The sequence below is a fragment of the Homo sapiens genome, chromosome 16 (assembly GCF_000001405.40).
Source record: "Homo sapiens chromosome 16, GRCh38.p14 Primary Assembly".
Taxonomy (NCBI): Eukaryota; Metazoa; Chordata; class Mammalia; order Primates; family Hominidae; genus Homo; species Homo sapiens.
In genome coordinates, this window is record NC_000016.10 from 72,084,857 (window position 1) to 72,110,938 (window position 26,082).

Sequence of the window (26,082 nt, forward strand, 5' to 3'; positions counted from 1 at the left end):
TTAGGCAAAAAGAAATTTTATTCTTTCACAGAAGTCTGAGGCAGGCAGGTCCAGAGTTCATGCAGGAGCTCAATAACATCAGAGATTGGGCTCTTTTTGTTCTTCTTAGCATATCGATGTTTTACGTGATGCTGGGCACCTCGGGGACCTAAGATGGCTGTTGTAGCTCCATGCATCATGATTAAACCAGAGACAGGAAGTGTACGATGGAAGAGGCCAGAGGTGATGGCCTCCTCCTCTCCTTTTGTCTTATTCCTGGAGTGACTCCCTCCTCTTATCAGCAGGGATACAAGCAGTGCCTGGCAGCCTTCCCTCTCTCCTGTATGAGCCAAAAGCAAGACTCATGGCACCCCTCCCTGCAGGAAAGGGGTGGAATGGAGCCCCTGGCAAAGGGGGCTGGACTTGCAGTGACAGTGCTGCTCTGAACAGGACTAGGCTTCTGTTGGAGAGGTGGTCAGCGGCTGCTAGGCAGGTCACAAGCTGCCTCACCCATGGCTCTCCAGCTCTGCACCTACCCTCTCCTTCTAATAAATCTGTTTCAATAACCACCACGAGGTTTAAAGAGGAGCAGTAACTTGCCCACGGTTGCGCCAGGCACCCCTAGAAGAGCAAGAATTCCTTACAAAGTTATTAAAACAGGCAAATCCCATATAGGTGACATTTCTATCCAACAATGCTGACATCTCTTTTAGTTTTGAGCCTTAGTAATCCAATTTTCTGCCTCAGGAAGAGGCAGCAGCTTCTGGGAAAAATCTGCTCCTGCTAAGGTGGCTCATTCATTGTTTTACCTGAATAGAGTGGTGGATGGTGAAGGTTCAAATTCTCACTTTCCATATTAAATTTTATAACATAAAAAATAATTAAATGGGGTGCGCGCGGTGGCTCACGCCTATAATCCCAGCACCTGGGAGGCTGAGGAGGGCAGATCACGAGGTCAGGAGATCGAGACCATCTTGGCTAACACGGTGAAACTGCGCCTCTATAAAAATACAAAAAATTAGCTGGGCATGGTGGCGGGCGCCTGTAGTCCCAGCTACTCAGGAGGCTGAAGCAGGAAAATGGCATGAACCCAGGAGGTGGAGCTTGCAGTGAGCCGAGATCGCGCCACTGCACTCCAGCCTGGGTGACAAGAGTGACTCGGTCTCAAAAAAAAAAAAAAAAATTAAATGAGCCAACCAGGACAATGTTTAAAAGCCAGAGCCAAAAAGGCTCCAAAATAAAACAAACTTGTCTGCTCAATTAATTATTTGAAGAGAACCTACAGTAATACAGACTGGAGATGGGAAAGCACGAGGGATGTATGAGTCGAGGAACCGGCAAAGGGGTGTGGGGGTGTGTGTGTGTGTGTGTGTGCACACACATGCACCCAGCTAGGGTAGAAAATAAGTACTTTTGCTTCTATGGGAAGTGACTTTCCAGTTCACTTGTGTATCAAATGAACATGATGAAATCAAGTTGTACTAGCCAATGTTTGGGAGGGTTCTGTATTAAAGGGATAAAGAAAAACATTAGAAAGAGAAGTTACAAAAATCACTGTGGGGAAAATGAACACCAATGACTTGGCTGCTCTGAGGCTTGCAGGGAGTAGACAGTTAGGCATCCCAGGTCATCAGAGAACCAGTGGGGTCTTTTCCTCAGGGGCCGGGTTTTCTACACGCAAGTCAAACCTCTTCTCCTCTGGGACACATGTTTCCAAAGGACTCCAGAAACACAGCACAGCTGGATTCAGGTACTGTGTCAAGATGTGCCTTCTTCTTCATCTTTGACAGCAATTAATGTACTAAATGTCTTGATAGAGAAGGTCATATTTGGGAATATTCTTGGGATCAATAGGACTTTGGACAATAAGCTTCCCCCTCATTGCTCCTCGATAGATTACTTCAATCAAATCTATGAAGTCTTGTTTGGTTTTGAAGCTTCCCACAAACTTAGTGTGATCTGGAGATCTAGACAGCATAGAAGAGAAACAACTGCTCTAAGAACTTTGAGTAATCACTTGTTGAAGACTTTCAGGATAAACAAAATGAAAAACAGCTTTGTTATTTTCTTCTTGTCAATGAGACTTCAGAAATAAAGCCCAACATTAATTTTTCAATCATTTTTTTCCATTTAGTAAATGACTCAACCCAGTGCTGTGGGCCACTAGCATGAAAGCTCTGTCATGTGCAAAGCTTTAGCTTCAAAAGCTATTGTAATCACAAAATCTATTTTTATCACTTCTCAAATCATCAAGCAGATTTCACCAAGTGTTGGAGTGCACATTGTTTCTTCGTTTGCTGTTGTTGCTTTTGCCTGGGCATTGTGCAAAGCCCATTCAATATTCATGGCCTTTTGAGTGGTAGGTATTAAAAAATTGATTTTTTAGAAAAGTATCTCAAACACCAGGTATGTTACTGTAAAAATTTTAAAGAAATAAATAAAATCACGGATGAGGCCAGAGGTCACTTTTCAGTGTCTATCCTTCCAATCTTGTGTGTGTGTGTGTGTGTGTGTGTGTGTGTGTGTGTGTGTGTATGTGCAGATACAAACTTCTTTTTTCCCAACATTGGGAATTATGTCATACAAATTATTCAGTAATATGCTTTTTTCTAGCTGACATATATTTCTTTCATTTGTTAAATGTGCATCTGCAACATCATATTAAAGTCCTGGAAGTGTAATTACTGGGTTAAAAAGTTTAAAAACTTTAAACTATTTGATACATAATGTTGAACTGGCCCCCATAAAAGGTTGTACCAAATTAATACTTACATCAAATGTGTTCCAGTAGAATAAACAGCTTTAAAATACTTTTGTGTTTTTTTTTTGTTGTTGTTGTTGTTGTTTTGCGATGGAGCCTTGCTCTGTCACCAGACTGGAGTGTAGTGGTGCGTTCTCTGCTCACTGCAACCTCCACCTCCTGGGCTCAAGCGAATCTCCTGCCTCAGCCTCCTGAGTAGTTGGGATTACAGGCACCCACCATCATGCCTGGCTAATCTTTTTTTTGAGACGGCAGCTCTGTTGCCCAGGATGGAGTGCAGTGGCGCGCTCTCGGCTCACTGCAAGCTCCGCCTCCTGGGTTCATGCCATTTTTCTGCCTCAGCCTCCAGAGTAGCCGGGACTACATGCGCCCGCCACCACGCCCAGCTAATTTTTTGTATTTTTAGTAGAGACAGGGTTTCACTGTGTTAGCCAGGATGGTCTCGATCTGCTGACCTCATAATCTGCCTGCCTCGGCTTCCCAAAGTGCTGGGATTACACGCGTGAGCCACTGCGCCTGGCCATGCCTGGCTAATTTTTGTATTTTTAGTAGAGATGGGGTTTCACTATGTTGGCCATGCTGGTTTTGAACTCCTGACCTCAAATGATCCGCCTGCCTTGGCCTCCCAAAGTGCTGGGATTACAGGCGTGAGCCACTATGCCCAGCCTAAAACACTTTAAAACAGATAATATTTCACATACTTTCAAATAAAGACAAAAAGGGTACACAGATCTAGATAAGTGGACACATCAACCACAGTAAGAAATGATCAGAATCATGGATGCACCCAATCATCAATATTAAGTATTGAGATGGTAATTGGATGGAGTGGAAGGCACTAAAGAGGACATCATGTTACTTATTCTTGACAGGCTTTGTTGAAGAATGATTTAAAATTCAATGGCGAAAAGCAGGAAACTTTGCAAGAGAGAAGCACATCTTAGTTTGCTAGAAGGAATGTTTCTTTCATAAATGCCACTTACCAGTCCAAAAGCTTAAGAAAAACTACATGTTTTGTTTCAAATGAAATTCCTGGGAAAATTTTAAGAGTTCTTTATTTAGCTAATATGGCTATTTTATATTTTATAGACTTATGGATGGTAGTGCTTTGCCACCTGTACTATTTCTTCATACTTAAGTCGGAAATTAAAATTTGACAAACCATGTGTATGCACTATTAAAAAAATAAATAAAATTTGACAATCATACCAGAAGCACTCTCATTTTGTAGCAAGGTTTTGCATAAAAAATTAGAGAGTGCGTCAATTGGGGAAACAGTACTGATATAAGACTCACAGAGCCAACATCACATGGAAATAGGCAAGCTACTGAAAATGCTTACCAAGGAAACTTACAAGGTTGCAATTAACTTCAGATCAACTGCACTTACCCATAATCCACTTTCATATGCTGCCCATTGAAGAAAAAGACAGTAGATGGAATATAACTGATGTCAAAATACTGTGTATAAACTGCAGTTTGGTCCACATCTACCAGGTATATAGCAGCCATTTTACTTAAGTCAGAAGAGGTCTTAGAAAGCTGCAAATGACGAGAGAGACAAAGGTTACAATATGAGAGGCAGCTTAATGTTTCTTCTGTGAAACTTGTTACTACAACAGAGTGTTTTGTTTGAAAAAACTCCTGGGCCAACAATGCAGCCCATGTGGCTCCCACATTAGACAAAGCATAACCCCATCCTCCAGAGTCTCATTCACTGCAACGGGGTTAGGAGGGAATCTTGGGGAAAACTGTATGAGGTTAGGAAGGGACCTTGGGGAAAACTGTGTGAGGTTAGAAGGGGACCTTGGGGAAAACTGTGTGAGTTTAGGAGGGTGACAGCATGGGAGTATTCCTGTCTATTCATTGTGGAGAGAGACCTAACCCAGAACTAAGACCTCTACCCGCCATTTCTACTGCTGCCATCCCGTGTTAAGAGCTGAGCATACAAATCCTTGGGGAAAACTGTGTGAATCTATTTCTTCCTTTAATTTCTTTCTTTGAATGCTTTTATAAAAGTAGCCCATGCTCATTTAAAACAACACAACTTAGAAATATGTTATGTGGATACTGAAATTCCCTAACGTCTCCTTCCTCCCAATCCTCCCAGAAATGAAAACCACGATAATTAGTAGCAGACACTTATATAACATTACTATGTGGTAACTGTCCTAAGTGCTTAACATTTGTTAACTCATTTAATCCTTACATCATTCTTATAAGGTATATGCTATCAGAGTCCCCATTTTATAGATAGGGAAACTGAGGCACAGGAAGGTAAAGTAATTTGCCCCAGGTCACACAGCTCCTGAGCAGTAGGGCTGGGGTTTGAACTTTGGCAGTGTGGCTTCAGTGTCTACATCACTGACCTCTGTGGTATTTCCTCCTGCTTATGACTGAGGGTAGAATCCTCTGGTCCTTTTTTCCCCAAGCTAACACATCACACCCTCATTGTAACCACGGAAATGAGGATTTGTACGCTCAGCTCTTACACGGGATGGTAGCAGTAGAAATGGCGGTAAGAGGTCTTAGTTCTGGGTTAGGTCTCTCTCTGCATCAGGCACATACTGGAGGCAGCACACTAGAAAAGATTATTTGCAGCTACAGAAAACTGAGTTCAAATCTCAACTCTGCAATATAGTGGATCTGCACCTGTGGGAAATTACTTGACCTCTCTGGTTTTTTTTTTCCTACTGGGAAATGGGGCTACTATTATCCCACTATTGCGAGCACTGAAAAGATAGTGTTCACAGATGCTTGTTAATAGTTTTCTGCTCTTCCATCACCTTGTTGGTGAAACAGCATTGACAGCTTCTAGTGGGTAAGGACATCCAAGACAGATTCAGCACACACAGATTTGGGGGCTTGGTTCAGGGCAGGCACACAATCAGCTCTTAGTGAACTAACAAATGAACAGCTATATACCCAACCCTGACTACTCCCTCTCATGTACTACTCAGATGCTGAAGTGAGAATATACAGATTATTAATAAAAACCAATTATTTTAGACATTCACTTACAATATCATCTAGCTGCAGACAGACAGGATCTTCATCTCTCCCAAACCTGAGAACCAACACCTTCTCAGCAGTACTTTTTATCGCCTGGTCTACTTCCTTTTTGCTAGTCAGCTTGGGCAGTAGGAAGCTCATCTTGAAATAACCCAAATGTGAATCCTCACTGTCACTCCTGAAATAAAGGTGCAATGTTTAAAGACAGTTTAGATTAAGTGCGTGAGCCCTCATTAAAAAAAATTAATTCACAGAGTAGCTAATGTATTCACATGGTATGAAAGAAACATCATAGAAAGGTAACACTGTGGAGTTTCCCTCTCTTTGTCCCTGCTCCTTGGAACCAGTTTTCATTGTTCCCTCCCCCGGGCCAGATAACTGCTTTCATTAGTTTCTCATGTATCTTTCAGAGTTTTGTTATGCATTCACCAAAAAATACAAATATGCGTTCCGATATTTTTTTTCTCTCTCTCCCCACCCCCAAAAGATAGCCTATTGTATCAGTGTTCCAGCAGGAAAGCGATGACACTCTCAACTTTGGTAATTTGAAGGCAGTTTAATTAAGGCAGGTGTAGAAAAACAATACGGTAAAGTGTACTACTTTGGGGCTAGTAACAGCGGGATGCTGTACCCATCCCTAGGCCATGGGAGGAAGAAGCCACGGTAGGAAGCAGTTATAAGAATTGTGTGGCAGAAAGAGGTGAGTGGAGAGGACAGTGTATAGGAGGGCAGCCTGCTGTTAGGTGTTGCAGCCACTCTCCTCCCTCCCTCTGACCTTTGCTCATGCAACCACCGGCTGACTCCAACTGGAACCAGAGGGCAGGGGCCTGTTGAGGCAGGCAAACCTCCCTGTCCCAGAGCAGTCTAGAGGAGGATGAAGAATGGCTGTGGAGGGACCAATGGCAGATGTTCAGCACACACACTTTATCTACTCTTCAGCACTTTTCATTATTTCAAACCTAACCTATGAAGATTGCCCCATATCTCTATATAGAGAACATCCATATTCTCTGTCATGGCAGCATATTATTTCTTGCATGTGTTACACTTTTTAAACAGTCCTTTATTGTATACTTTATATTATTACAAGTCCTGGCTTAAAGATTCTTCGTGTGCACCTTACTAGGTGCACCTCATTACACGGCAAACAGATCAATTAAGAGTGTGTGTGAAAACTACAATACCATAAACAAATAATAAAATACTGAGGTACAAGGGACCTAATACAACCCCGTCATTTTACAAACTAGCTTGCTTACAGTTGCACTTTCTACTACAATGACAAGGACTAGAATACAGGCCACCAAATTTCTAGTCCAGGGGTCCTTCTACTACAATAATCTATTTTCATGATTGGTAGAAATTTCATTTTTGAGAAACTCTTTGACAAAGAAGCTTAGTTTTGTGGTCATCTATAAGAGACTCCATTGAGATGGTCGGTATTTTGAATTCAGTTCCAAATATGAAAAGGGAGGATTTCTTTTCCTATTTTTTTTGTCACAAGTCACATTTTAAGATACGAATTAGGCCAGGCTCACCCCTGTAATCCCAGCACTTTGGGAGGCCAAGGAGGGTGGATCACCTATGGCCAGGAATTCGAGACCAGCCTGGCCAACATGGTGAAACCCCGTCTCTACTAAAAATACAAAAAATTAGCCGGGCGTGGTGGCAGATGCCACCTGTAATCCAAGCTACTCAGGAGGCTGAGGCAGGAGAATTGCTTGAACCCTGGAGGCGGAGGTTGCAGTGAGCTAGGATCGCTCCACTGCACTCCAGCCTGGGCAAGGCAACAAGAGCGAAGCTCCGTCTCCAAAAAAAAAAAAAGGAATTATTTAACTAAAATTCACATAGGAAATAAGATTGTTCCAGCTATAGGTCATACTTTAAACAGGGACATTGATGGCCCAAAGGGACGTCATCAGATGTGAGCAGCAGAACAAATTACCAATGAAAGGGAAGGTCAAAGAGAAGACGGATCTGTCCCACTAGAATTCAAACAAACAGCAGTTCCTCCGTGTTACTGATCGAAAGGAGAAAGTAAGGGGAGAACAAAGTTGTTAGTGGTGAGGCTAGGGGTGCAACTGGACAAACGTTGGAAGCAGGAGAGGAAAACTGAGACCACATCTAAGAAAATGTCCATAGTAAATGATACCCACAGAGAATTCCCAAAAGAAGACGTACAAATGGACAGTAAATAAACTAAAAAGTTAAGCTTTACCAGTAAGCAAAGAAAAGCAAATTAAAACATATGTTTACAAAGTCACTGAATTGGCAAAAATTAAACAAGATAGTGGTAGGGGCAGGCACAGGGAGTTCCTGCTGGAATGCAGACACAAAACCTTTCTGGAAAGAAAACTGACATACTCTTTGACCAATAACTCCACTGCTTTCCTCTCTCCCTCTCTTTTTCTGAGGCGGGGTTTCGCTATGTTGCCCAGGCTGGTCTCAACTCCCCAGGCTCAAGCAATCCTCCCGCCTCAGCCTCCCGAGTAGCTGGAACCTCAGGCGCGCGCCACAACTGCAGAAACACCAAAAAAAGAAAAAAAGCTTGAACTCACTTTTGTACAGAATCTTACTACAATGTATTCCAGAAAAACAACTGGAAATCAGTGGTCATCTCTGCGTGTGAACGCATGGGTGATTTTTATTTACAGCCGGGCGCGCATCTCCATTTTCCAAAATATCCGATATACATATTTAAAGTCACCTGTGTTGCGCTGCTCCTGGCCCACAAGCGCTAAGGGACCCCAGCACTTACCTTACTCGTCCACGCCGCCTCACTCCCTTTCACTTTGTGGCTGTCAGCAACCACTTCTCGGAAGAGCCCGGGCGCGGACAGCTCCTTTCATCAGCCCCAAGCCGGACAGGACCCTAAGACCAAGTCACCCAGGGGCTGTTGCCTAGCAACCCTCGTGGCCCCGCTAGCGGGAAGGAAACCGAACAGAAAACGCACAAGCGCAGAAAAGAAACTCCTGGCCGTCGGTCGGCCCCCGCTCAACAGCCCAATAAACGGAAGAGCTTCTAGTCACCGCCCACCTTGCTCGGCTCTGACCGGAAGCTAGGCGTCACCTCCGCCCGTATTAAAGATGGTCGACCTTTTTCCCCTCCTTTTCCTGCCCCCAGACTAGAGGCGGGATGTAGTCTCTTAGGCTAAGAGTGATTGGTCACAAGGAGACTCGGAAGTGTCTGATCAGAGCCCCAGAGGAGGCCTTGAGAGCCTGTTGGCGTACCGTTCCACACTTGGATCCAGGAATCGGGCGTGTTCCAGGCTGCTCTCTATGGTAGCTTTGGGCGGATAGAGGGGGCGCGCAAAGTATTAAGGGACAATAATGGCCGCTTTCAAGGTGTGGATTTTGGCTCCTTGAGCCTGTCTGAGCGAGGGGTGGCAGCGCCGGCGCCCCAGAATCCGGGACAGAAGGGTCCCAAGAGTCGCGCTTGGTGAGGTGAGAGTCCCTTCTTCCTTCCTGGCCTGCCCTTCTGTAATCATGGCGGCTCTAGGCGGCGGATATTGGTCCCCTGCTCAGGTCCGGGCCCCAGTTTGGGGAGTTCCTCTGTCGTCCCTGTCACCCACCTTGCCTTACTCACCTCAGGGATGCTGCATCCGTCCTGGCCGCCTTGGCCTTCCTCCTTGCTCTGGTCAAATCCTGCTGCCTGGAGCGGCCTCGCTGAGATCCAGGGATGCTGCCTGGAGTGGCCTTGGTCCCTCTCCCAGGCCTCCGCTTTAACCCACCCCAGACTGTCACCGAGCCCGAGTAGGACTCCTTGTGTCTTCCTCTGCTCTCTCACAGTGTCATTTATACCAGGCAATCTGGTGGGCGATCTCTTCTACTAGAATGTCAGCTCCAGGTGGGCGGGGATTTTTGTCTTGTTCTCTGTTGCTATCGCCGAGAACAGCAATTGGCTCAGGGACACCCTCAGTGAATAATTGTTGAATGAATGAATCCAGGTTCTTTCTTCCCTGGCTTTCTCGTACGCCTTGTAGTTTCTTTGCCATTAATCCTTCTCAAGAATCTTGCTCTTTAGCTCCTTATTTGTTCGTCTCAGCAGCTAATGAAGTTCTCTCTGGCTGTCTCCTTGTCCTGTGTTGCTGGAATCTTCCCTTGCTGTCTCCAGAAATGTTTGGGTTCCTGTCCTCCTTTAATAAGTTTAAATTAATTCATTTTTTAATTTATCAAACGCTTATTTTGCTAGACATTGAGCTACAGCAGTCAACAACACATCCAGTGTTCTCTCAACTGCGTAGAATGGCAGTCCAGGGTACCTTTCCTAGTTTAGACAACTATTGAGTAGAGCCTGTATATCTTTACCTTCTTGTGTGGATTTCCTCACATGCGCACAGATGTCACCAATATGCAGCTTTCTTTTTTTCTGTTCTGCCTGATGGCATTTTCAAAATGTAACTCTTGTTTCTGCATTAATATTATGTGTCCAGTCTGTTTGGCAATACTCTGTAGAGCTGTGCATTTAATTAGAGTTTGGTAAACAATTCTGGATTCTGGTGGCATCTCCTTTGCTTTGCTAACTTGTTGGAATGAGAGGAATTATCCAAGCATCCAGAACTGATATATGTTGATGAGTGGCAGATGTGTAGTGAGAGGTAAAGAGGAGCTTGTTCCAACTTGAGTGCCAGAAGTCTTGTAGCCACTTAAATACTTCTCAGTAACACCTTTTCCTAACCTGGTGTTTCTCATAAATATTTTTGGTGAACATGGATTGTTATTAAACTGATTTTGGCTGCTGTGAGTAAATTGTTTTCTGTAAAACGCAGCTAGGCCAAGAAAAGCCACTAAAGTATGGAGAACATGGACGGTAGCCTTCTGCCCCATCTCTGTGCTGCTGTACCTGTTGTTTAAAGAGAGGAAGAGGTAGAACTCATGTAAAAAAATGGGTGAGGGACCAACAGTATATAGGAGGATAGCAAATAATACAATGTAGCAGTTACATTTATGTTAACTGTTATGGTTACATAAAGAGCTACTCTTTATGGTTTCACATACACTTTTTGTTTGATTCTCACAATAGCTTCATGGATTAGATAAGGTAAAAATTTTTTCCATTTAATAGATATGAAATTATGGCTAAACAAAGATTAAGTTATTTGCTTACCATCATACAGGTAGAAAGTGTCAAGAGCCTGGTTTCTAATTGAGGTTTCTGATTCAAATTTAGTGGTGTTTTCCCTACATCCCTGTTACAGCTGCTGACATCAGGCTCTAGAAAGTGTCCCTTAGTGAGACTTTTTATTGCCTCTTGGATCTTTGTGGGGGCTGGGGAGGAATGTATGGGGTGTGTGTGTGTGTGTGTGTGTGTGTGTATCTATTTTGGTGTTTATTGGGGGTTGGAATAGGAGAATCTTTGGAGATAGGCAGTGACTTGATGGAAAGGTCTTGGAGAGAGGGAGCAAAAGTAGTCCTGGTCTTAAGGGGAGATGGGGAAGGTTAATCACCTACATATAACCATAACTGCATTTATTGTGGGATATAGTAGAGCTGAGCCTTCTCTAGTACCAAATGGTTTGCCTTCCTTCCAGAGAAATCCCAGATCCTGTGATGGGGGACACCAGTGAGGATGCCTCGATCCATCGATTGGAAGGCACTGATCTGGACTGTCAGGTTGGTGGTCTTATTTGCAAGTCCAAAAGTGCGGCCAGCGAGCAGCATGTCTTCAAGGCTCCTGCTCCCCGCCCTTCATTACTCGGACTGGACTTGCTGGCTTCCCTGAAACGGAGAGAGCGAGAGGAGAAGGACGATGGGGAGGACAAGAAGAAGTCCAAAGTCTCCTCCTACAAGGACTGGGAAGAGAGCAAGGATGACCAGAAGGATGCTGAGGAAGAGGGCGGTGACCAGGCTGGCCAAAATATCCGGAAAGACAGGTAAAGGCCTTAGTATGGGTTAGCCCAGAGGGAAGCGAACGGAGGCTGGAAAATAACAGCTCATGTTTATCTCTCAGTTTTCCTGTTGGAGATTTAGAGCTTTATGATTTTATTATGATTCTGTAATACTGAAGGTAGGTAGGAATTTGTGGGGAAAAACAAAGGTGAATAAAGACGAGATGGTAGAGGTTAGAAATGCCTTGGGTTGTTGCCATATGTGAGCCTGCGTCCCAGGGAGAGAAAGTGGAAAAGGACAGATCACTTGTTTGGACAGCCAAAGGTTTTAGGGCAGAGTTTTTCTCCTATGGAGGGGCCTTTACCAGTTGCTCTCCCTGTTTCAGACATTATCGGTCTGCTCGGGTAGAGACTCCATCCCATCCGGGTGGTGTGAGCGAAGAGTTTTGGGAACGCAGTCGGCAGAGAGAGCGGGAGCGGCGGGAACATGGTGTCTATGCCTCGTCCAAAGAAGAAAAGGATTGGAAGAAGGAGAAATCGCGGGATCGAGACTATGACCGCAAGAGGGACAGAGGTAAACTGTCCAGCACAGTTCCTATTGTCCATTAGCATTCGAATAAATGTGTCAGCCTTTTTCTTGTTGCAGGAGTTTTTGCAACACCCATTTGTTAGGGAGTCCTATTTGCATGATGTCCGCCTGAGTGGTTTTGACCCTGCTGGGATTGGGAATACTAGTTTAAGAAAAGAGCTGTTGCCTGTAACATAGCTGCTCTCCTTGAGTGTGTGGTCTTCGTTTTATTATGAAAATTGATGATAAAGGAGATAATGGGTAAATATGTATAAGAGACCAGCATTTCTAATAGTATTGGTGATAGAGAAAGGACAGTGCTATGGAACAAAGCTAGACAAAAAAATCCAATGCTGTCCTTGCTCAGTATTAAGTTTTATAGCTGATAGAATTGTAACTATTAAAAAAAATGATTCACTGTAAACTCGCACTAGTATTTTTTGAATTCTTGCTGGAAAATAACTGTTACTGTGGGTTTGAAATTTTCTAGGCAGTAACTATTTTTCCCCCTTGGGAGAATGGGGATAGGTGAGTTTCAGGAGTCCACGGATCACATTCGAGCAGTGCAGGTTGCACCTGTGAGTGAGTGGGCAGCCTGTCCTTTCTCTAGGGTGAAGATGTGTATACCTTAGGATGGGATGCATGTTTTTAAGCTTCGTGTGACTCTTCATAGATGAGCGGGATAGAAGTAGGCACAGCAGCAGATCAGAGCGAGATGGAGGGTCAGAGCGTAGCAGCAGAAGAAATGAACCCGAGAGCCCACGACATCGACCTAAAGGTAGACTCACTGTTTTGGTGGCTTGTGAGGATTCAAGTGTATAAAAGGCAGAGTGAGTGACTCTCGTCTTCAGTGAGATTGCTGAGGCATTGAGTCAGAATTCCCGATTCTACCATGAACATCTTGGGATAGTTGGTTCTGAGTCAGGTGGGCACAGCTCTGCACTTGGGGTGGATATGGTTCCTGTAAGGTGAGAGGCTGGTTTGCTGAATGGCCAGTTTTCCAAATGGTAGGAAAGAATAGGGAGCTGGAGGTAGAAGAAGTGTTTATTAAAAAGAACTACTTATATCCAAGAAGGGTGTGTTTGTAGAGATAAAGTAAATATCCCTTAAAATGTTGTCATAAACACAGAATGCAAACTGGACCATTGGCTAGGTGCAGTGGCTCATACCTGTAATCCCAGTACTTTGGGAGGCTGAGGCAGGCAGATTACTTGAGGTCAGGAGTTCGAGACCAGCCTGGCCAACATGGTGAAACCCCATCCCTACTAAAAATACAAAAATTAGCCTGGGGTGGTGGTGGGTACCTATAATCCCAGCTATTCGGTAGGCTGAGGCAGGAGAATCACTTGTACCCGGGAGGCAGAGGTTGCAGTGAGCCAAGATCACACCACTGTACTCCAGCCTGGGCGACAGAGCAAGACTTTGTCTCAAAAAAAGAAAAAAAGGAAAAATACATCCTGGACCATTAAAAATTGAGATATCTTTAAAAACTGTCAAAACCGATCTTAACCGTTATAGATACATGCAAGGTTTAGAAATAGTAAAAGGAGTAAATTTGGGGAATTGACTTTTGGCAACTGGTTCTAGACCATGTCATGGTTAAGTGAGATGTTTCCTGTGGATGTGTCTTTTGTGGCCCAGATGCAGCCACCCCTTCAAGGTCTACCTGGGAGGAAGAGGACAGTGGCTATGGCTCCTCAAGGCGCTCACAGTGGGAATCGCCCTCCCCGACGCCTTCCTATCGGGATTCTGAGCGGAGCCATCGGCTGTCCACTCGAGATCGAGACAGGTGATGTTCTGGGCAGAGCAGCCCAGTTTCGCTGGGTGGGCGGTAAGGAGCCTCGGCAGGGAGAGCAGATGGTGGCCAGGAGGACGTGGCTTAGCTCAGTGACAGTTTTGTGATGCTGGTGCTGCTGTTCCCAGGTCTGTGAGGGGCAAGTACTCGGATGACACGCCTCTGCCAACTCCCTCCTACAAATATAACGAGTGGGCCGATGACAGAAGACACTTGGGGTCCACCCCGCGTCTGTCCAGGGGCCGAGGTGAGGCCTGTGGGGCAGCAGGCAGAAGAGCAGGCTTGCTTGCCCTAGCGAGGATGAGCAGGGGCTGCCCTTCTGGAGCTGCATGGCCCTGCAGATCTGTCTGGGGCCGCTGGGGACAGGCCAGGGCATGGACTGACCTGCTTCCTGTGCTCCTCCAGGAAGACGTGAGGAGGGCGAAGAAGGAATTTCATTTGACACGGAGGAGGAGCGGCAGCAGTGGGAAGATGACCAGAGGGTAAAGTTTTATACCTCTGAGGGGCTGATCGGGGCTGGTGGCCGTCTGTAGATGGGTGACCCTCTAGCAGGACTGGGCTTTGATGAGGGTACACCTGAGCCCTGTTCAGACCCAATGCCCTGGAGTCTCTTTGCAGAGGCATAGACGGCACGGTGAACCCTGTCACTCACTGCAGTAGGCTGACCTAACTGTTCTGTTATGTGTTGGTGCCACCATGTGGTAAATCTAAGAAGTGCTATCGTGATGGGCTGCCCTCCAGTCCTGTGTAGTTGCCCACTGTGGTTCTCCTCCAGATGGCATGTGTCTGCAGGGAGGCCTCTCCTGCACCCCTCACAAGGGTAGCTCCACTGCAGTAGTGACTTCCTACCAAGCGTCCCTTCTTCTGTTGGCCATGTCTCGTGCATAAACTTGATCTGTCCCTCACTCCCTTGCTTTGCCTCCTGCCCTGCAGCAAGCCGATCGGGATTGGTACATGATGGACGAGGGCTATGACGAGTTCCACAACCCGCTGGCCTACTCCTCCGAGGACTACGTGAGGAGGCGGGAGCAGCACCTGCATAAACAGAAGCAGAAGCGCATTTCAGCTCAGCGGAGACAGATCAATGAGGTGAGGCTGCCTGCAGAAGTTGGAGCAGATTCAGAGCTGGAGGTAGAGCACGTGGGGAAGCAGCAGGTTATCCCCAAGTGAGGGCAGCACAGCTTGTCCCCTGATTGCCGAGAAGCCCAGATCCTCTGGAGGTGGAAGAGGAGTGGGTGATGAGCCTTTTAGTAGCTTAAGGAAAGCCCCGGCTCGTACTTCTCTCTTTTGCAGTACTTCCTTGAGGGGAAGTACTGTTGATGGGAACAGGTGCATTGGGACCTGCCTCTGTGGTCTGTGTTCTTTGTGTCTCTGATGTGGGCTAGGGACACTTACCATTTGTGTGTCCCTCTAGAGGTTCTGATTTAGATGAAAGGTGCTGCTGCTTGGAACAAACTCCTGCAGGTGATTTGGGATCAGCACCTCTTCTGTCTTTGGAGCTGTGGGTAGAGGCCTGTGACATCTTTGCAGCTACCAGTGGCCTTCTGTCAGGACTTGATGTGTGGACTTACCTCATAACCTTTCAGGACGACCTTTGGGGTGGCAATTTGAGTGTGGCTCCCATTGTGTCCTCACAGGATAACGAGCGCTGGGAGACAAACCGCATGCTCACCAGTGGGGTGGTCCATCGGCTGGAGGTGGATGAGGACTTTGAAGAGGACAACGCGGCCAAGGTGCATCTGATGGTGCACAATCTGGTGCCTCCCTTTCTGGATGGGCGCATTGTCTTCACCAAGCAGGTGAGGCTCCTCTGTGGCCAGGGACAAGACAGCTCAGAGAGACCTGATGTGGGCCAGGTGCAGTGGCTCATGCCTGTCATCCCGGCACTTTGGGAGGCTGAGGAGGGTGGATCATTGGATACCAGGAGTTCAAGGCCTGCCTGGGCAATATAGTGAAACCCTGTCTCAAAAGTACAAAAATTAGCCGGGTGTGGTGGCAGGCACCTGTAGTTTCAGCTACTCGGGAGGCTGAGGCAGGAGAGTTGCTTGAACCTGGGAGGCAGAACCTGCAGTGAGCAGAGATCACACCACTGCACTCCAGTCTGGGCGACAGAGCAAGACTCTGTCTCACACACAAAAAAGGCCTGATGTGGAGACAGAAAGAAGAGAAGGGAGAAAATAGCCCTGTACCATGAGAGGGTAGCAGTCCCTTTCACAAGTAGGGATCTTATGAACATGGCCTTCTTGCTGATTTTAACGGGCATCGCTCTTTCTCCCCACTGCTGCAGCCGGAGCCGGTGATTCCAGTGAAGGATGCTACTTCTGACCTGGCCATCATTGCTCGGAAAGGCAGCCAGACAGTGCGGAAGCACAGGGAGCAGAAGGAGCGCAAGAAGGTTGGTTTCTTGGTTTCGTGGCTGGGAAGTTTATGTGTATTTTTTTCTTTTTTCTTCTCTTCATAAGTCTTACTAGGCCCACAGATAGAAGTTAGGAGTCCCCTCTATCAAGTCCTTAGGCCCGACAGCTGCGGGGCCTGGTGTTGGGAGAGCTGGAGGCTTGAGGATTGGAATGTGGCTCGGTGCCACCAGCACTCTGGGGGAGTTTACCACCTGCGGGGTGAAGTCTGCTCTCCCGTGGGATTGATTTTCCATTGCTCGCAGTCATGTGGCAGGATGGAGCAGACTGACCTTTTTCCTTTTCAGGCTCAGCACAAACACTGGGAACTGGCGGGGACCAAACTGGGAGATATAATGGGCGTCAAGAAGGAGGAAGAGCCAGATAAAGCTGTGACGGAGGATGGGAAGGTGGACTACAGGTGGGCAGCCTCAGCCAGCAGCACATCAGCCTTGCTCCAAAGATGGGGGCCCATGTGGGCAGTTGCGGCAGAACCCATCGACTTTGTGGCTCCTGAGTGGGAGACTCTTAGGATACCTCTCTGCATCTTCCATTCTCTCTGGTCCCTTCCTCCTGGTCTCTTCACTGTCCTCCACTTTTCCTATATGTGATTCCTCCTCCCTCACACTGCTTCCTCTGGTGCTGGTGTTGTGAGAGGAAGGAGGCCCAGGGAGGTTAAGTAACTTGTCTGAGGTCACCCAGCTTGTCAGTGAGGGAGTTAGGATCAGACCCAGGCCGTCTCACATCAGAGCCACTCTGCTGAAGTACCTCCCAGGTGTTCAGCATGGGCAGCTGGGTTTTAGTCCCTTAGATTTGAGTTCACTATAAGAACTATTTTTAAAAGAGGTTCCAAAATAGAAAGGGTTATCTTATTGGCCAGTGACTTCTCTGCTCATAGAGGCATCTAAGCAGATGCTGAGTTGGGATTCCTGCATTGGGCAGGTGGCTGGACTTATCTGTCCCTTAAGATCCTCATCCTTCGAATGCCCTTATGTTCTACTGAACGGTCATCTGAGTTAATAATTCTCTCCACTCCTGTGTGAAATGTCCATACGAGAAGTTGGTACTATTGATCAGCCCTTATTCTTCTCTAGTTAACTTAATTCCTCAGGTATTAGTTATTGGGTGACCAGGAGGGACTGGGTGAAATTAGAAATAGGAAGCTCAGCAGAGCATGGGGCGGCACATCAGACAGGAAGTCTCTGGGGAGGGGGTTGGGGAGGGGTGTGTGGACTGTGTGGAGCACTGAACTGGTGTCTTTTTGCCAGGCAGCCTTGAGAAAGTGACAGTGCTCTGCATCTCGGGTGTGTACATGTGTCAGACATTGAGAGCTTTCAGTAGAGGTTGCAGGTTACTGTTTAGTGGGGCTGTTTTCACAGTTCTTTGAAAACAAAACCGTACAGACTATGCTTTCCTGCTGTCCTGCCAAGAGGAGGGAGGAAGTTTGACCCATGTCCCGTGCTCTGCACCCTTACCTCCTCACAAGGCCTGTGTGGCTATTTTAGCCCTTTAGACGTTGTGCTGAAATTGCCCGAGGGTATTTTCTACAAGTTAGTGACCTGGGGATTGATTTCCACTCCTCTTCTGCTCACTCTGTTTTGGTTAGAGGGTTTGCTAATATGGTGATCTGTAAATCCTCCGATCCATGTTCAGCTAGCTCTGTTGGACCCTGTGGTGTCGAGTGTGTTGTGGATGATGGATTCTCAAGTAGCAGTTTCAGTCCTGAGGTCGATGAGAACCATCTCAGATTCCCTGGCTGCTTTGGTGTCTCAGACTCTTGCCGAAGTCCTCATTCCTGAGCGTAGGAAGGAGGGCAGCAACCCAATCAGGAAGGACAGCATGGGGCACCATGCAGGGTGTTTAGGCTGCTGTGTGTTCCTAGGACAGAGCAGAAGTTTGCAGATCACATGAAGAGAAAGAGCGAAGCCAGCAGTGAATTTGCAAAGAAGAAGTCCATCCTGGAGCAGAGGCAGTACCTGCCCATCTTTGCAGTGCAGCAGGAGCTGCTCACTATTATCAGGTAACTTCACCCGGGGCCCAGGAATCTAGTGTCAAGTCAGGGGTGCCCTTGGTCTCCCATGTTTACCCAGGAGCTCTTTTTCTTTTGTGCATTGCACCCAGTGGAGAAGGGAAATACTTTTTTCCTCTGACCTCATGCCTGGGGTACACTGCACAAAGTAACGGGATGGCACCATTTTGTTTTAGCTCACCTGTTTAAACCTCACCGTATTCCAGATGTTTCAGGTGTTATCTCAGTAAGAGGCTGTTGTCCCAGTGAAATTCTCCCTTCTAAACCGGCATGCTCCCTGGATAGCTAGTCATGGGGATAGGAGGTAGCGGAGTCTTCTTGGAGGCTGGGTGTTGGCCTTCCACTTCGGCTGATAAGCCCTTTGCCTGCTTGTCCTTGTAGAGACAACAGCATCGTGATCGTGGTTGGGGAGACGGGGAGTGGTAAGACCACTCAGCTGACGCAGTACCTGCATGAAGATGGTTACACGGACTATGGGATGATTGGGTGTACCCAGCCCCGGCGTGTAGCTGCCATGTCAGTGGCCAAGAGAGTCAGTGAAGAGATGGGGGGAAACCTTGGCGAGGAGGTGAGTGGGCGTGGGGGCTGAGCCATGTAGTTATTCCCTAGTAGCTTCCACCCATTTTTGCTAAAGGGTGTGATCTGCTAAGACTCGGACCCCAGTACGGGGTGTGCTGGTGGTGAGCCGGTGGCCAGGGCATCTGAGCCATCTCTCTGACCTCCAGGTGGGCTATGCCATCCGCTTTGAAGACTGCACTTCAGAGAACACCTTGATCAAATACATGACTGACGGGATCCTGCTCCGAGAGTCCCTCCGGGAAGCCGACCTGGATCACTACAGTGCCATCATCATGGACGAGGCCCACGAGCGCTCCCTCAACACTGACGTGCTCTTTGGGCTGCTCCGGGAGGTGAGGGCTGTGTGGTTTGGTCTCTCTGCGCATGGGGTGTTGACCAGTGCACCACCAGTAGCTAGTGGGTTGCTCCAGGTGGGCTGAGGGGGTCTCTGGTAGGCCAGAGGTTCCTGAGGCCTCTGGTTGCAGTTCAGACTCGGGTTGTAGTTCATGCTGTTCTTGCTCTGCTGAGGGTGGCTTGGGGTTTTCTGGGCAGTGGCTCCATTGCTTCAGTCTTCATGATTGGTAAGAATTGAATAGGCCCATTTGTCAGCTTTGGCTTGTGTTTCCTCGGGGGTGGTGCTGATGGGACTGGGGGACAGGAGCCAAGGGTCCCCACCATGGGGGCCTCCGAGCCGCCTCTTCTCTCAGGTAGTGGCTCGGCGCTCAGACCTGAAGCTCATCGTCACATCAGCCACGATGGATGCGGAGAAGTTTGCTGCCTTTTTTGGGAATGTCCCCATCTTCCACATCCCTGGCCGTACCTTCCCTGTTGACATCCTCTTCAGCAAGGTATTGAGGCCACCATGTTACGAACTGACCCTTCCATGCCACGCACTTCTCTGATGCGAAGCCGGCTGGAGGGTGGAGGGTGGGTAGGGGACTGGGTTGGAGAAGATTTCCTGGGGACCATGGGGCAAATGGGGCAGCCTGCAGCTCTGGGACTCGGGGACAAAGGACTCTGCTCTGGGTGAGGTTTTGTTTCATTATTTCTTTGAGGCTGAAGTACAGGGCCCAGGGAGGCACTGTGCCCTCTTGTAGAGGCCTCGCAGTCAGGCCCATGTGGAGGTGTGGTGGCCCTCAAAGTCCATGGCTCCATTCCAGAGCAGTGCCTGGGCCACTGGGCTCCCAGGAGATGCCCGGCCTGCGCTTCTAGTACCTCCCTCTGACTGTGTCCCCACTGCTGTTGCAGACCCCACAGGAGGATTACGTGGAGGCTGCAGTGAAGCAGTCCTTGCAGGTGCACCTGTCGGGGGCCCCTGGAGACATCCTTATCTTCATGCCTGGCCAAGAGGACATTGAGGTGCGTGCCTTGGTCACGACTGTGATGAGCGGGTGTGTCTTGCATATGAGAGGTTAGGGTTCCAGTGTCTCACAGCTCCTCCCTGGGCTCTCAGGTGACCTCAGACCAGATTGTGGAGCATCTGGAGGAACTGGAGAACGCGCCTGCCCTGGCTGTGCTGCCCATCTACTCTCAGCTGCCTTCTGACCTCCAGGCCAAAATCTTCCAGAAGGTGTGTCAGCAGGAATGTCCAGGAGTGGCTCTTGGAGTTCTCTAAAGGAAGCGAGAGGGGATGTGACTGTCCTGGCAGGGGGTGGGCTAGGAGGTAGGCTTTTCCCCCTCGCGGAGCCTTTCCTGTCTCGAGGGACTCATTTTTCCCTTCCTGTATGTCCTGCTCTAGGCTCCAGATGGCGTTCGGAAGTGCATCGTTGCCACCAATATTGCCGAGACGTCTCTCACTGTTGACGGCATCATGTTTGTTATCGATTCTGGTTATTGCAAATTAAAGGTAAGAGAAGACATGGGAGGCAAGGCCTGGGTGTTCACCAGAAGCTAACTTAGCTGCGGGGTGGGAAGCCAGGGCCTCGCTCCTGGCCCTGGGATGTGGGGAGCGCGTGGAAGTGGTGGTGGTGGTGGGAGGCTCACATTGACTCACTGTGCTTGGTTTGTTTAACCCTTGTAATACTCGATGAGGTAGATAATTTAACAGTAGAGCTCAGAGAGCTGGTGTTTGTGGGGAAGACTTCTTCAGGTGTTCATGAGAACATTTCTAGAGCCTCCTGGCTCTTCCTCTGCCATGTGTAGCAACCAGGGCTTGCCTTTGTCTCAGGCCTACTTCCACTTTCCCCTCACTCTGTCCTTCGTCAGCTCTTTGCCGTCCCCTCCTAGGTCTTCAACCCCAGGATTGGCATGGATGCTCTGCAGATCTATCCCATTAGCCAGGCCAATGCCAACCAGCGGTCAGGGCGAGCCGGCAGGACGGGCCCAGGTCAGTGTTTCAGGTAGGAGCCCTGTGCTAGCCTGCTTTCTGGGGCAGCGCTGGGGTTGCTGAGCGTGGAGCCCGGGCGGGGGCGGGCAGGATGCTGGCTCTAGAGCTGGTCCCCAAGGCTGGAAGCTGCTGGCAGGGCTGCCACTTGTTAGTCCTTTCATCCTATGCTACTGAGTGGAAGGAAGGAGTGGCTTTCCAGGGATTTCAGAGGTCTGAGGCCAACCTACGTGGATGTAGGTACACATGCAGGTAATTACAGCCTGCCTCCCTTCAGAGGGTAGGTCTGGACAGATGATGCCATTGGTTCTTTTTATTTCTATTGTTCTCTTTCCCCATTTTCTTTCTTTCTTTTTTCCAATTAGAGACAGGGTCTTGCTCTGTCACCCCAGGCTGGAGTGTGGTGGTGCAATCACAGCTCACTGCAGCCTTGATCTCCTGCACTCAAGTGAACCTCCCACCTCAGACTCCCAAGGGGCTGAGATTGCAGGCAGGCACCACCACACCTGGCTAATTTGTTCATATTTTGTAGAGATGGGGTCTTGCTATGTTGCCCAGGCTGGTATTGTGAACTCCTGGCTTCAAGCGATTCTTCTGTCTTGGCCTCCCAAACTGTTGGCATTATAGGTGTGAGCCACTCTGCCTGGCTCTCTTCCCCTTTTTTGTTCCAATTAAAAAAATTAATGTATTCACTATAGAGCGTTAGTGAATATAGAAAAATATCAAGAAAATAAAACCCAGCCATGATTCTAGTCCCAGGCCCATTGGTTCTAGAAATGAAACAGATGGCTGGGTGTGGTGGCTCATGCCTGTAATCCTGGCACTTTGGGAGGCCGAGGCGGGCCGATCACAAGGTCAGGAGTTTGAGACCACCATGGCCAATATGGTGAAACCCCATCTCTACTAAAAATACAAAAATCAGCTGGGCGTGGTGGCGGATGCCTGTAGTCCCAGCTACTCGGGAGGCTGAGGCAGGAGAATCGCTTAAATCCGGGAGGCAGAGGTTGGGCAACAGAGTGAGACTCTGTCTAAAAAAAAAAGAAATGAAACATGTAAGAGGCTCCAGAAGAAGGGCTAAATTGGCAGATTGGAGTTTTGAATAGGTGGAAGTCAGTGATTCACTGAAGTAGTGGGTGGGGAGAAGAAATGAGAATTTCCTCCCTCCCTGTGGGATTTCATCTGTACTGGCTGCTGTGGGGTTTCCTTGTGGTGAGAAGATGGGGTCTTCTCCCCGGCAGGCTCTACACCCAGAGCGCCTACAAGAATGAGCTCCTGACCACCACAGTGCCCGAGATCCAGAGGACTAACCTGGCCAACGTGGTGCTGCTGCTCAAGTCCCTCGGGGTGCAGGACCTGCTGCAGTTCCACTTCATGGACCCGCCCCCGGAGGACAACATGCTCAACTCTATGTATCAGCTCTGGATCCTCGGGGCCCTGGACAACACAGGTGAGGCGGCCCCGGGAGCCTCATGGGTGCTGGCGCTTGACTTCCTTCTTTCCTCTACTGTCCCGTCAAATATCCGGGTTTGCTCATCTCTCCTAGGTGGTCTGACCTCTACCGGGCGGCTGATGGTGGAGTTCCCGCTGGACCCTGCCCTGTCCAAGATGCTCATCGTGTCCTGTGACATGGGCTGCAGCTCCGAGATCCTGCTCATCGTTTCCATGCTCTCGGTCCCAGCCATCTTCTACAGGCCCAAGGTGGGGCAGCGGCTGGCTCCCCTCTCCCCGGAGGGCTCGAGGAAGTGTTGGGGAGGGGAATGGCTTCTCTCTGTATTACTGAAATGGAACAGAGGGCAGAATCAGAGTTTCTGAAGAATGATTTTGCTGTTCTCGGTTAAGCAGGTTGGGGTAGGGGAAAGGAAGGGCTGGGCCAGTGGTTCTCAGGGAATGCTTTGGAAATTTGCAAGAGCATTTTTTATCTTCTAGTATGGTTGCTCTTGAGCCCTCATGTTTTAGAGTAGACCTTTTTAAAAATTATTTTAATTTTTCTCAAATTGTCAGGGCAACCTATTGACATGTTTGAAGTTCTATGTGTGGGTAGGTGGTAGTGTTAGAACCTCTGGGATGTGCTCAGTGGGCCTGGACCCCCCTGTACTTAGAGTGAAGGTTCTTTTTCCCTTCCTAGGGTCGAGAGGAGGAGAGTGATCAAATCCGGGAGAAGTTCGCTGTTCCTGAGAGCGATCATTTGACCTACCTGAATGTTTACCTGCAGTGGAAGAACAATAATTACTCCACCATCTGGTGTAACGATCATTTCATCCATGCTAAGGCCATGCGGAAGGTAGAGTGGTGGATGAGCAGGATGTTGGGATGAGGGGAGGGTCGAGAGGAAAGGAGGGCTCCCTCCTGGTGCCTCCGTCTCCTGCCCTAGGTCCGGGAGGTGCGAGCTCAACTCAAGGACATCATGGTGCAGCAGCGGATGAGCCTGGCCTCGTGTGGCACTGACTGGGACATCGTCAGGAAGTGCATCTGTGCTGCCTATTTCCACCAAGCAGCCAAGCTCAAGGTGAACCCAGGAGCCCAGTGAGCCCCTCCCAGCCTGATACCTGTATAAGGGCAAAGTTCTTCCTTTGTCCTGGTGTGGTTCTGCAGATCTGGGCTTCCGCCAAAGGCTGTGTCAAGAGTGTTAAGGGATGGGGTCGCTGCCCAAATGGGTGTTGTTTTCCTGATGTGGCTGCCTGTTGTGTCTCCTCCCTAGGGAATCGGGGAGTACGTGAACATCCGCACAGGGATGCCCTGCCACTTGCACCCCACCAGCTCCCTTTTTGGAATGGGCTACACCCCAGATTACATAGTGTATCACGAGTTGGTCATGACCACCAAGGTGAGTCTTTTCCAAGGCACTTGCATAATGCAGGCCCCCTGTCTGGCCAGGCTTTGAAACCCTTCACTGCGTTCTGGCATGAGCTTTTAGCCTGGGAGCCTTGAGGCCACATGCATTGTTTTGCGGGGCATGTGAGGTTGGTTTTCATTTGGGGACTTGGGGAAGCTCTGCACAGGGTTGACCTCTAGACTGCATTGACCTCAGCTGCATGGGCACGATTGTTCCCCACTTGCTGCTTGGGATGAGCAACCCCTCTTGGTGTCATTAGAAGGATTTTCGGAGGGGTTGGGCCTTTTCTTTTAGATACTGGGGGCATTTTCTCAAGTGTGGAGGAGTTTGGATGGGAGTATCTGGGGTTTTTCCTTTCCTTTTTTCAGCCTTGCAGGGCCAGGGATTGGGCCCTTCCCATGTGGCTCCTAATTGTGGAACCACTCTGGGAGGGACATTGGCCCTCCTGTGACCCTCGCCTCCCTGCCCTTCTGCCCGCAGGAGTATATGCAGTGTGTGACCGCTGTGGACGGGGAGTGGCTGGCGGAGCTGGGCCCCATGTTCTATAGCGTGAAACAGGCGGGCAAGTCACGGCAGGTGAGGATTCTGTGCTCTTCGCAGGGGTGCTGTTTGCCTGTGGGGTCGGTGTTCCCTCCGCTTGGTATTGAAGACTTGCGGTCATCCAACCCACTTACTTCTCTCTGCAAACATAAAGGCTGTGATCCAGCAGGCTGGGTCTGTCTGATTCCCCACCACCCACTCCAGTTGTTTGGTAGGCTGAGCCTTTAAAAACAAAACCAAAAAACTCATTATTGAAAAGTCCAAATATTCATGAAAGTGGGAAAAACAGTACAACAGGCCACCATGAATTCGTTGCCTTGCCTCTATAATTGTCAACGTTTGTTCAATTTCACTATTCCTACCCCACTCCACACACATCCATTTTTTTTTTCTGGAATATTTTAAAGCTTATCTCATACATTATTCATCCATAAATACTTGAGTATGTGTCTCTGACTAAAAGGACTTAAAATTTTAAATATAACCTCTGTGCCGTTATCACTCATAAAAAAATGAATACTTAATGTCACCTAAGTCTCCAGTCCGCATTTGGATTTCTCCATTTATCTCAAAGATAACTTCTTATGATCGATTTGCTTGAATTAGGATCCAGGCATTGCAACTGCTTATGTGTGTTAACTGTTTCATTCTAGAACAGGCTCCACCCCACGCTTTTTTTCATGACATTGATTTATTGGAGCAGCCAGGTCATTTGTCCTGTCGAATAGTCCATATGATGTATTTGCCTCATTGCTTGCTCACAGCGGTGTTTAACCTGTGCCTGTGTTTCGTGCACTTGCTGTAAGCTGGCGATGAGTCCAACCGCTCAATTAGATCCCGGCTGAGCTGCGTGTGGCAGAGATGCCTGCATGTGGCACTGTGAACCTCCTCTTAGATGCCTTCAGGAGGCATGTGAGGTCTGGTGGCCCCACCTTTGCTGATGGGAGGATGGATGAGGGGCCCCAGTGGTGGCAGCCTGCCTCTTCCCTGATAGGTTTCCACTGCTCCTCCATCTTGAGGTTTTAGCGTCTGTTGATGGCCATTGCCTAGATCCATATTTAGGGTTGCAAAATGGTGCTGGGCTTTGGCTTACCCCTTTTCGTAGCATAATTCTCCCCATACCAGGCTCCCTTGCATCTTATGCCTGTCTCTTCCAGCCAGCAGGTAATCACATCTTCCCTGTTTTTCTGTACTTCCTAGCATAGTTGTGAACTTGATTTTTCAAAAAAGAAGGAAATGTAAGTACTTCCTGGACTGAGGGATGACTGAGTTAGGACTGATTGTCCAGTGTCTTGAGTCAGTGAAAAAAGCAGGCCTCAGCTGCAGAAGAGAAGGCGGCTTTGGTACTGGGGCAGGCAGCCATGTGGAGCACTGGCCTGGTGGATGCAGCACCTGGTTTGTGGCAGGGACTTGGGTGCCGACGAGGCCTCCTTCCTTAGTGGTCCCCAGTAGGCTCAGCCAGGT

The 26,082-nt window shown here is 48.4% G+C and overlaps 2 protein-coding genes across 10 annotated transcripts in view, besides 5 other annotated features; one reads left to right on the plus strand and one right to left on the minus strand.

Moving 5' to 3' along the window:
• TXNL4B (thioredoxin like 4B) lies at positions 1 to 9,522 on the minus strand. Of its 5 annotated transcripts, NM_001324355.2 has the most exons (5): positions 8,511 to 8,764; positions 5,762 to 5,930; positions 5,233 to 5,321; positions 4,131 to 4,282; positions 1 to 1,946 (listed from the first exon to the last, which is right to left on the minus strand). In NM_001324355.2, the coding sequence occupies exons 4-5, from the start codon at positions 4,250 to 4,252 to the stop codon at positions 1,781 to 1,783; spliced, it is 288 nt and encodes a 95-aa protein (NP_001311284.1). In that variant the 5' UTR covers positions 4,253 to 4,282; positions 5,233 to 5,321; positions 5,762 to 5,930; positions 8,511 to 8,764; the 3' UTR covers positions 1 to 1,780. The 5 variants fall into 5 exon arrangements, with proteins under 5 accessions (NP_001311284.1, NP_001135790.1, NP_001135789.1 ...); NM_001142318.2 differs by lacking the exons at positions 5,233 to 5,321; positions 8,511 to 8,764 and adding an exon at positions 9,338 to 9,522; NM_001142317.2 differs by lacking the exons at positions 5,233 to 5,321; positions 8,511 to 8,764 and adding an exon at positions 8,789 to 9,013.
• Positions 8,537 to 8,866: an enhancer, noted in NCBI's record as "active region_11089". NCBI's record gives its function as "activates an Ori minimal core promoter by ATAC-STARR-seq in GM12878 lymphoblastoid cells {active_cell/tissue: GM12878}" and the evidence as "EXISTENCE:reporter gene assay evidence [ECO:0000049][PMID:35858748]".
• Positions 8,877 to 8,926: an enhancer, noted in NCBI's record as "active region_11090". NCBI's record gives its function as "activates an Ori minimal core promoter by ATAC-STARR-seq in GM12878 lymphoblastoid cells {active_cell/tissue: GM12878}" and the evidence as "EXISTENCE:reporter gene assay evidence [ECO:0000049][PMID:35858748]".
• Positions 8,987 to 9,286: an enhancer, noted in NCBI's record as "active region_11091". NCBI's record gives its function as "activates an Ori minimal core promoter by ATAC-STARR-seq in GM12878 lymphoblastoid cells {active_cell/tissue: GM12878}" and the evidence as "EXISTENCE:reporter gene assay evidence [ECO:0000049][PMID:35858748]".
• The window catches only part of DHX38 (DEAH-box helicase 38), a 19,066-nt gene continuing 1,974 nt past the window's right edge, over positions 8,991 to 26,082 (plus strand). For 2 of the 5 annotated variants that reach the window (NM_014003.4, XM_011523484.3), the window contains exons 1-25: positions 8,991 to 9,195; positions 11,283 to 11,624; positions 11,966 to 12,153; positions 12,821 to 12,925; positions 13,789 to 13,936; positions 14,071 to 14,189; positions 14,348 to 14,424; positions 14,876 to 15,031; positions 15,580 to 15,741; positions 16,230 to 16,337; positions 16,644 to 16,756; positions 18,218 to 18,355; positions 18,746 to 18,932; positions 19,090 to 19,275; positions 19,630 to 19,770; positions 20,171 to 20,281; positions 20,376 to 20,492; positions 20,661 to 20,768; positions 21,149 to 21,261; positions 22,484 to 22,692; positions 22,789 to 22,943; positions 23,371 to 23,526; positions 23,617 to 23,751; positions 23,944 to 24,069; positions 24,559 to 24,654. In NM_014003.4, the coding sequence (NP_054722.2) occupies positions 11,302 to 11,624; positions 11,966 to 12,153; positions 12,821 to 12,925; positions 13,789 to 13,936; positions 14,071 to 14,189; positions 14,348 to 14,424; positions 14,876 to 15,031; positions 15,580 to 15,741; positions 16,230 to 16,337; positions 16,644 to 16,756; positions 18,218 to 18,355; positions 18,746 to 18,932; positions 19,090 to 19,275; positions 19,630 to 19,770; positions 20,171 to 20,281; positions 20,376 to 20,492; positions 20,661 to 20,768; positions 21,149 to 21,261; positions 22,484 to 22,692; positions 22,789 to 22,943; positions 23,371 to 23,526; positions 23,617 to 23,751; positions 23,944 to 24,069; positions 24,559 to 24,654 (3,477 nt within the window). In that variant the 5' untranslated portion in view covers positions 8,991 to 9,195; positions 11,283 to 11,301. Of the gene's footprint in view, positions 9,196 to 11,282; positions 11,625 to 11,965; positions 12,154 to 12,820; positions 12,926 to 13,788; positions 13,937 to 14,070; positions 14,190 to 14,347; positions 14,425 to 14,875; positions 15,032 to 15,579; positions 15,742 to 16,229; positions 16,338 to 16,643; positions 16,757 to 18,217; positions 18,356 to 18,745; positions 18,933 to 19,089; positions 19,276 to 19,629; positions 19,771 to 20,170; positions 20,282 to 20,375; positions 20,493 to 20,660; positions 20,769 to 21,148; positions 21,262 to 22,483; positions 22,693 to 22,788; positions 22,944 to 23,370; positions 23,527 to 23,616; positions 23,752 to 23,943; positions 24,070 to 24,558; positions 24,655 to 26,082 lie in introns of those variants that run through there. The other 3 variants (XM_047434985.1, XM_017023913.3, XM_047434986.1) reach the window with 3 other exon arrangements.
• Positions 14,146 to 14,646: an enhancer, noted in NCBI's record as "H3K4me1 hESC enhancer chr16:72132901-72133401 (GRCh37/hg19 assembly coordinates)". NCBI's record gives its function as "activates a minimal SCP1, AML or CMV promoter by ChIP-STARR-seq in primed H9 embryonic stem cells {active_cell/tissue: H9 hESC(primed)}" and the evidence as "EXISTENCE:reporter gene assay evidence [ECO:0000049][PMID:30033119]".
• Positions 22,659 to 23,858: an enhancer, noted in NCBI's record as "CDK7 strongly-dependent group 2 enhancer chr16:72141414-72142613 (GRCh37/hg19 assembly coordinates)". NCBI's record gives its function as "activates an origin of replication core promoter dependent on BRD2, BRD4, P300/CBP, MED14 and CDK7 cofactors, with strong dependence on CDK7, by STARR-seq in HCT116 cells {active_cell/tissue: HCT116}" and the evidence as "EXISTENCE:reporter gene assay evidence [ECO:0000049][PMID:35650434]".